This window comes from Homo sapiens, chromosome 5 (genome assembly GCF_000001405.40).
Source record: "Homo sapiens chromosome 5, GRCh38.p14 Primary Assembly".
In the NCBI taxonomy this organism is placed as follows: domain Eukaryota; kingdom Metazoa; phylum Chordata; class Mammalia; order Primates; family Hominidae; genus Homo; species Homo sapiens.
Genome location: NC_000005.10, coordinates 82,522,515 through 82,532,529, shown reverse-complemented (window position 1 = coordinate 82,532,529; position 10,015 = coordinate 82,522,515). Strand labels below are relative to the sequence as shown.

At 39.7% G+C, this 10,015-nt stretch overlaps 1 annotated feature.

The window, feature by feature from the left end:
* Window positions 8,394–8,931: an enhancer, noted in NCBI's record as "OCT4-NANOG hESC enhancer chr5:81819418-81819955 (GRCh37/hg19 assembly coordinates)". NCBI's record gives its function as "activates a minimal SCP1, AML or CMV promoter by ChIP-STARR-seq in primed H9 embryonic stem cells {active_cell/tissue: H9 hESC(primed)}" and the evidence as "EXISTENCE:reporter gene assay evidence [ECO:0000049][PMID:30033119]".

Here is a 10,015-nt window from a genome sequence, read left to right as displayed (position 1 = left end):
TTTTAGCAAAAAGACTGGTGGTATTTTGCCCCTGCCCTAGAGATTTATGAAACTTTGAACTTGAAGGAGATGATTTAGTGTATCTGGCAGAAGAAATTTCTAAGCAGCAAAGCATTCAAGACATGACTTGGGTGCTGTTAAAAGCATTCAGTTTTAAAAGGGAAACACAGCATAAAAGTTCGGAAAATTTGCTACTTGATGGCAGCCCCTCCCATCACAGGCCCAGAGGACTAGGAAGAAAAAATGGTTTCGTGGGCTGGGCCCAGGGTCCCCCTGCTGTGTGCAGCCTAGGGACTTGGTTTCCTGCATCTCAGCCACTCTAGCCATGGCTAAAATGGGCCAAGGTACAGCTTGGGCCATGGCTTCAGAAGGTGCAAGCCCCAAGCCTTGGCAGCTTCCATGTGGTGTTGAGCCTGCAGGTGCATAGAAGTCAAGAATCAAGGTTTGGGAATCTCCACCTAGATTTCAGAGGATGTGTGGAAATGCCTGGATGCCCAGGCAAAAGTTTGCTGCAGGGGCAGGACCCTCATGGAGAACCTCTGCTAAGGCAGTGCAGAAGGGAAATGTGTGGTTGAAGACCCCACACAAAGGCCCCACTGGGGAACTGCCTAGTGGAGCTGTGAGAAGAGAGCCACAGTCTCCAGACCCCACAATGGTAGATCCACCAACGGCTTGCACCATGTGCCTGGAAAAGCTGCAGATATTCAATGCCAGCCCATGAAAGCAGCCAGGTGGGATGCTGTACCCTGCAAAGCTACAAGGGTGGAACTGTCCAAGACCATGGGAACCCACCTCTTATATCAGTATGACCTGGATGTGAGACATAGAGTGAAAGGAGATCATTTTGGAACTTTAAGATTTGACTGCTTCACTGGATTTTGGACTTGCACAGCGCCGTAGCCTCCTCATTTTGGACAATTTCTCCCATTTGGAATGGCTGTATTTACGCAATGCCTATACCCCCATTGTATCGAATAAGTAACTAACTTGCTTTTGATTTTACTAAAGGGACTTGTCTTGTCTCGGATGAGACTTTGGACTGTGAACTTTTGAGTTAATGCTGAAATGAGTTAAGACTTTGGGTGACGGTTGGAAAGGCATGATTGCTTTTGAAATATGAGGACGTGAGATTTGGGAGGGTCCAGGGGTGGAGTGATATGGTTTGGCTGTGTCCCCACCCAAATCTCATCTAGAATTATAGTTCCCACAATTCCCATATGTTGTGGGAGGGACCCGATGGAAGGTAATTGAATCATGGGGGTGGGTCTTTCCCATGCTGTTCTCATGATAGTGAATAAGTCTCATAAGATCTGATGGTTTTATAAAAAGGAGTTTCCCCACACAAGTTATCTCCCTCTGTCTTGCCCACCACCATCTAAGAAGTCCCTTTGCTCTCCCTTTGTCTTCTGCATGATTGTGAGGCCTCCCCAGTGATGTCAAACTGTGAGTCCATTAAACCTCTTTTTCTTTATAAATTACCCAGTCTCAGGTAAGTGTTTATCAGCAGCATGAGAAGACTAATACAGGGAGATTAGGTTTGATGATGCTTCGAGGAAGATGCAAGGGCCGACTCTGTATGCAAGTGATGTAGGTCACTTCTTTGGGAGGAGATGGGCTTGGTAGGCAGGGTGGAGCACCAGGACAAAAGTGCTGTTTCCCTTGTCCTGTGCCTAAAATATCTACACAATTCTATCCCTTGGGTTAGGGTATTTAAGTCTACTTTTAACATATGAAGATTATCAGAGAGGAATATAATTTGAGCTAGGATGTTCAACAAATAACAACCCTTGAAGGGGCAAGTGAGAAGATGAAATTTCTCCCTGGGTGAAGGGCCACAAGCTCACCTCCTGAGATCAAGGCTCATTACCAGGGCAGGATCACCCAAGGGCAAGAATGGCTGACCTCAGGAGGAAGAACTATAATACTTGCAGACAAATGGTGGCCCTCCTCCATGCTCCCACTGATGATATCAGCCATTGATACCTTATGTGGAGCTGTTTTGTGAGTTGTTCTCACTTTGCTGGCCTCTAAAGAAGTAGAAAAATTAAACTGGTAAATTAGACTGGGAAGCAGCATTTTATGGTGGTAAGCATATGAGATGTCACTCAAACATACCTGGATCCATATCACTAGTTCTACTAATCATTAGTGATATGAGTTGGGAAATTGGTTTAATATATATGAGCCTTGTGTATAAAATGGAAACTATGTCCTCTGACACTACTTTGAGGTTTTTGAAAGGATAAAACAATATCGAGTATCTGACTTGAAGGTATTCAATGCATGTAAGATTCCTGTTGGACAAAAGGAGATGGAAAAGTTGGGCTTCACTCAGGGTAAGACTTTTCAGTGGAAGAATGTTGGGGCAATGTTAAGCAACAGGGTAACTGATCTCAGTGGGTAGGGACTGCAGGAAAAGAGAAAGGAGGGGAACCCAGGACAAACTTGGCTAAATTCACAATTTTGCCCAGACCAGGCTTACACTTCTGTCAGATTCTCATCCTCATTCATTGTGCTCTCTCATTTGGTGAGACTTAGTAGAAATTATGATAAATTAGCCTATGGAAAGACTCTGAACTTTCCTAAAACACTTAGACAAGCTTTTGGCTCTCTATTTATATACATGTGACCTTTAATGTCCCACATAGAGTGATGACCCTGAAGACACCTTTGGTGTTCAATCACAAGGGAAATGAGGAAGGCACTTTGACCACCAAAATGAGACTGGCTCAAGAGAAAGGAATTTATTTTCCAGATTCAAGAATCTTATTTTTCTTGCAGTGTCTTAAATTATGCAAAAATAGAAAAGCACTCTTAACTAAGCAAACAGTATGTAGGTTTAATTTTAAAAGTTTTATTAAATATTGCAGGAAATATCTCCAGAGCCTTTTAAATAGAATTTTAAATACAAGTATCTTGTCCCATGATGCTACTTTTGCTAAACATTATATATATTAGAGAACTGTTGAAGGAAATTATCCCATTTTTGAAGAAAATTCTTCATCATATGATAATACACTTTCTTCCAAAAAAAATCAGTTAACCAAAAAAACAGCTGCTCACATTGTAAAAAAAAAAAAAAAAAAAAAAAAAAAAAGAAATCAGGTAGCCTCATTTAGGCATGCTGGATTTTATCTACAATTAAATCATGATAGTCTTTCGGACTAGAGCTGAAATTTTTTTATTGATTAGTTCAAAAGCTAATCTATGATTGCCTTTCTTATAAGAATCTGCCCTGCTGCTGAACAAATATACAGGAATATGTAGAAGGCAAACAGAAAGAATTGTTTTCTAAAATATAGATTGAAAGTAGCCACAAAGTAGACTCTCCATTTGAAAAGTTTATCATAATGTAAGTAGTTTTGCATATGTCTCTCACTAGTCACAGTGTCCTGAAGCAATCAATCTAAGTCCCTCAAGTACTGCTTAAATGACAAGGTGGAATCTCTGAGGTGCTTCTTGAAAACCACAATAAAAGCAAAAAAAATAAAAAATAAAACTGTCTCCTCCAGAAACAGTGGATTCAAGATAAAATTTAATAATTTAGCTACGTCATTAACCAGCAATGTAACACTGGAAAAGTTACCTAACTTTTTTGATCCTTATATTTCTTATCAGTAAAGCAAAAATAATAATGTCTCCTTCACAGATTGCTAAAGTGTGATAATGTGAAATTCTCCACCACTGCCTTGGGCATATAGTAGCTGTTCAGCTACCCTTTGTTGCATATTAATCCATTCTGTCATTTTTATTGAAACTGATCTTTCAGGTATGCTCTTTAACCACGGTCATCTGGGTCCTTTTACTCACAAAATCTACATAAATAAAAAATTAAGTTATCACATTATGTAGCAAGAACTGAGTAGACAGTATGTCTGGGATGATGTGCTTTAAATTAAAAACTAAGCAGTGTTGAGGAAATTCACTTTGGAAGGCCTGGGGATGGAAGCTTAGAGGAATGGCTTCATGTTTTACAGAACAGCTGAAACTGGGTGATATGGTTTGGCTGTGTCCCCACACAAATCTCATCTTGAATTGTAGTTTCCACAATCCCCACGTGTAATGGGAGGACCCTGGTGGGAGGTAACTGAATCATGGGGATGGTTACCTCCATGCTGTTCTCATGATAGTGAGTTCTCACGAGATCTGATGGTTTTATAAAGGACTTCTCCCCCTCTTCAATCTGCACTTCTCCTTGCTACTGCCATGTGAAGAAGGACGTGTTTGCTTCCCCTTCCATCAAGATTGTAAGTTTCCTGAGGCCCTGCTGAACTGTGAGTCAATTAAACCTCTTTCCTTTATAAATTACCCCATCTCAGGTGTGTCTTTATTAGCAGTGTGGGAATGGACTAATACACTGAAGTACTCAAATCCAGTAGATCTATTTATTAGAAGGCATTTTAAGACTCTATGGTTTCAAATATGAGTCCCAATCAAAGTCACAAGGGTAGTCTCTCAGAATCTGTAATCAACAGGCTTCTTACATGGGCAACTGTATATTTAACAATGGTTAATAGTTTTCCTGAGCAATGTGGCTAAAGGCAAACATACTGTTTGTACATGTCTTAGATCTTATGTGTAAATAACTGTTGCTTATATATTTCAAACAAGAACCCTTACACATCCTAACAAAACATCACTCCAAAGAACTAATCAACTTTGAGATTTAGATTACCCCAAATAAGGATCCCTGTTAGGATCACAGGAGGTGGTAATAAGAAAGAATGAAACTTCATCCCTAGTCTCTACAGGACTATACTACAGTTACTCAATAAGCATTGTTGGTTTCTCTTGGGAGCCCAGTGTGAGGGCACCAAATACACATCATCAGAGTCCCAGACTGTGGCTGTCCGTAATTGAACACTCTTGACCTAAGCATCAGAGGGATTTAATTCTGTGCCATCCAAGGAGCAGCAACTTAAAACTACTCGTATTTGGCTTCTCTGATTTTGACTAGGGGAGTTGTTTATTGGTTAGTTGTTGGTGATTGGTTGCTTTTTTCCTTTCTTTGTTTTGGTTTGGGTTTTTTGTTGTTGTTGTGCTGAGAACAGGAGGATAAATGTACCCCATATAATATCATAACTTAAAACTCACCCCAGTAAGAGGGTACCTTGAGCCTGTCATTACTGTTGATTGTCTGCCCTTCCTAGTCCTGGATCTTGGAAATTCTCCCTGATAATACCAACCATCCATTTTCTCCTTTGTCGGATTTTCTTTGGAAAAATCAAAACAATTTATATGGAAAAAGGCAACAAGCCTCAATGGACAAAACGGTGGACTAGAAATGCCTATCTAATAATAGTTACTCTGCTGTAATTTTTACAGTGGGTTTCCCTCATTAACTTATAGCTTTTGAAAACTGGTTGCTCAAGTCACTATGCTCTGAATCTTTCTGTCTAGTGTGAGAAGCAAGACACATTCATAAATGATCACAACATAATAAAGCCTTATGCTTTATAATAAATTGCAGGAAACAAGTATTTCATGATCTCTTTGGACTTCACAAATAGAGAACTATGGTATTATTCTCAATTTATAGATTAAAAAAAATGGAGACTCCAAAGAGTTAAGGAACTTGACCAAGGTAAGCCAACAAGAAATGGGAAGATAATTAGGTCTTCCACTTCTAGTCTTGTGCCTACAAGAGCACCATGCAGGCTGCCCAGCAATCCATCCTTAGGAAAACAAACCGACACAGGAAAATGAAAATGAGAGAAATGACTTTCAATTTGAGAAAGTGAAAAAAAAAAAAAAAAGCCCTGCTTACTCACTGTTTCATAGATAAATATCCTGTGTCCTCCCCCAGATTCTCTAAGTCTATGGGGCAGCGCTGGCTTTCAGCAATAATAGTGTGACAGTTATTTGTTGAGAACTAATAATTACTAGACATACTGAAAGTAAAATAGATAAACACACACACTCTCTTAGGCTAAGTAGAGTGTGTATGAAGTAGAGATCATCACACCCATTTTACAAATGATGAAACTGAGGTAGAGACAAACTAAACATTTTGCATGGAGCTATACAACTGCAAGTGATTGGCCCCAAATATCATCACCACAATTCCTACTAGCTACACTAACCACCACACAACACCCCTACTACACATGGTAGACTGCACAAGCACTTGGCCAAAGCACAGGAACTAGGCCGGTTCACACTGAGGTGTATGAAGCTTCATGCAGAATGCTGTGTTTTAACACACATATATCGTTCATTTATTTGCAGAGAAGTCCTCTAGAAATCATTGTCCATTTCCACCGTGTAGGATTAAGAGTAGCATATAATTTAGGGTTACGAAAATGTGTAGAAAACATGCCAGGCAGAAGAAAGGACCTGTTATTCTTCAGCAGTGACCCAGGGCAGGTTGAAGGGCAGAGCCATTTCCTACTGGCTTCCCACCACATCACCTTCCTCTCTTTCCCTCTGGGCAACTCATGTGCACTTTGGGAGTTCTTCCCAACCTACATCTCAAAACTCCAAAAACGTGCAGAATGTGGAGTACAAGAGAGGAGATTTGGGCTAGAAGAATTTCAAGTACTCAGTTTCTAAGTAATGTTACGACATTGTATTTCCTTATTTCAAATAAGACACATTCCTATCTCTAGGGTCCCCTTGGTACCATTTGATAAATTGCTCTGCTGGCCCCAAATAGTCCTACAATTCGTTTTTACATGTCAGCTTTAATGCTGTGATTTCAATACCGCTAGCCCTTATGTTTTGCCAAATGATACAGGCCTGTACATTTGTGGTTTAACTCAGCCTTGTGTTTATTTCCATTGTTGGCACTATTTAAATGGTTACATTAGCATTCAGATTTAGAAGGAAAGCAAATTAACCTTATCTTTATGGTTAATGACTACCACTGTGCCCTTGTTTCAGATATATCTGGAAATGAGGAGAGTGATTCTTTTCTAGTCTTCCTTCAGAAAGTTGATACTGTAATTGAGAGCCTAGCTAATAGTAACTGTTGGTGTGGAAAGCTGGGCTTTGTGCTGGGTCAGCTTTTGGTCAGCCTTCTGTTCAACAGAAGAGACCCCAGTCTGGTGGGCAGACAGCTTGTGTGGCCATGGATGGCGTGTTGAGAGATGGGAGCTTTCAAAGCACAGCTTTCCTAAAAGAGATGAAAAGAGATTAAATGCTGTGTAGGCCTGTAAGATATATAGCTGCAAACTGAGTTTCATTTACAGTTATATATAGTACTCAGGGCACTTCCATAGACAATAGATAACAAAATCCAAGAGTATGTTCATCACCTCTTTGGACACAAAGCCCCTTAAAAAGAATGCTTGAGGACTTGCTGCTAGTAAGGGGAGGTTCTGCATGCTTACTCCCTTTCCAAACTTACAGGTAAGCTGTGGAAAATTACATGGATTGGAGAAGCCATTGCCCACAATGAAAAATAACCTAAAGTCACTCCACCGAACTGAGAGACCAGGAGTTACTCTGCAGAGAAGTAGTCAGCATTCAAGAGATTTGGGAATGAGAGAGACAAGAGAGAGGAGGCAGAACAGAAGGACCTACGTTGTAGGATTATTTGGAAGATTTAATAAGCTGATACGTGAAGAATGCTTAAAATACTGCAAGGAAGGAATACTCAAAAAATGTTATCTATTATTACTATTATAATTATTTCACAAGGATCCATGTAAGCAATGAAGAAACTGAGACTTTAAGAAGGGAAACAATTGATATTGTAGTTGTTTTCTGTCTCTGCTATGAACTTCCATTGTCTAAGAGCCTCAGCTCCAGACCCCTGTTGCCTAGCCCAGAGCCTCCAGCCTCAGAGCAAGCACACAGAGAAGGAAGGATGGAAACACAATGCCCTCAGCACTTCCACTTTCATTGATCTACAGTCCTGGGTCCCTGTTCTTTTAGGATTTATGCAATATTTTTTCCTGAAATCCATGACATGTCATAATATACAAATCCAAATTATTGGTAAATTGGAAATCTGCTGCTATTAGTAAGGTCTTGAGCCTTGTATTAGTATTTGAAATCACACTGCAGGTTGAAAGTTAATTAGAAAAAGAAATTTATGTAAGATATATAGAAAATCATATATTTGTATACACCTCCCTTATAAAAATTCAGTCAAAAGAGGTCAAAAGAGAAGTTTGTGAAGCATTTGAATAGAGCTTCTTTTTATCTTTTTTTCTCTCTCTCTTTCTTTCTTTCTCTCTCTCTCTTTTTTTTTTTTTTTAGAGTCATGGTCCCAGGAGGGAAGAACTCCTGGACTCAAAGTGATCCTTCCACCTCAGCCTGCAGAGTAGTAGTCTCACATTTGTTGTCAGTGTTTTCACACGGGTTGTTTTCAGTAACCTATTCCCATATTTCTTTCTTGGAGAGACCATTCATTTTCCAGAGTAGCCTGGAATACAGGCACATACCACCTCATCTAGGTTTTGAATGAAGCCTTTAAAAACTAAATAAATAAGAGAAAGAAGCAAAATACCAAAACAAGATGTGATTTCTGGAAAGTTCCTTGCTAATCAGTGTCCAAAAACCGGAACAGCTCTGGCTTAAGGGGCAAAGACTGATTTCCCTCAAAATGTGAACAAATGGTGCCACCCCAATTCAATGTGGAAGTCTGGGGGCCTCTGACTTCCTTTGGAGGATCCTGAGGAAATGTCATCAAATAATGCAAAGGTTGCCTTTGGCAGGATACTAACATTCCATTTACATCACAAAAGTCCACCTGATCCCAATCCAACCAGCAAACCACTCTCAACCCTAGGAAAACCAGAAAACAAAAGGATTTGAAAGAACCAATGTCTAGGCGGCATTTCCTAGAAAATCTGCAAAGATTAAATGCTTTCAACTAATTGGAAACCAGCCTGTTCCCAGATTTGATCTCCTTGGCTACATTTTCCAAATCACCCTGTGATGTATCCTTCTTCAGATTAGGAATCTGCTTTAATTTTCTACAGCCTTAGCTTTGATTGAAAAAATAAGGTTAGAGAAAGGGATAAATTAGATTCTTTTATGTTGTTGTTGCTGTTTTCATGAGAATATTTTTGTCTTTTATCTAGGAGTATGGTCTCTAGGACCCTTGGCATACTCTCATTTTCCAGTTCAAGGAACATCAACTCATAGCTCCATTAAAAAAAAAAATACAGGCACTGAAATTGGCCACGGTAGGGAAATTACACAGCCTAAAGACCATCTTTAGATGTAGGAGGTTTTCTATGAAAGAAATGTATCTACTGGTGATTTATAAACAAATAAGGCAAAAGGGTGCTAATCTGGAAATTCTGCTCTGTCACCAATAATTGTTCATGGCTATTCAGTCCACTGCATTGCCAATCTTGTGTAGGTAGAAATTTCCCACGATGTCAAAGACCTGTCAGTGGCACCACGTTAAAATCAAGACTCATCCAAGTAGCAGCTGATTCCCTTTTTACTGCTTATGTACGGTTCATTTCCTTCCCCGAGCCAAAGTGCCAAAGTCAATTTTCCCAGCTCATCTCCATCAGATCACAAGCTCTCCTTTGTCTCCTTTCTGGCTCCACTGAGCTCAGGCAGAGAAATCGATTCTCAAATTACTCCAACGATAAAATCTTTTTTCTGCTGGTAATTCTAGTGAAGTCTCACATTTGTTGTCAATGTTTTTGCACGTGTTGTTTTCAGTAACCTATTCCCGTATTTCTTTCTTGAAGAGACCATTCGTTTTTCTGTGCTTTTCTTCTTCTCCAAACCTCCCTTCACCTTTGAAATATATAACACATATTTCAAACAAGGGAATTTGATAAAAGAAATTTGATTATTCGGTGATGGCATAATTTAGAAGCTGATAAAAGAAAAACTTCAGACAAAACACATATAACAGAGTTTATTTAAGCAAAGAACAATTCATGAGTCAGGCCACCCTCAGAACCAGGAGAGGTTCAGAGAGCTCTTCTCTGCAACACAGGCAGTGAGTATTTAGAGAAAAGAAAAGGCTGAAGAAAGCAGAAACAAGGAACAACAACAACAAAAACAGTTCGGTCATTTCAAAGTAACTTCTCTTGTAAAG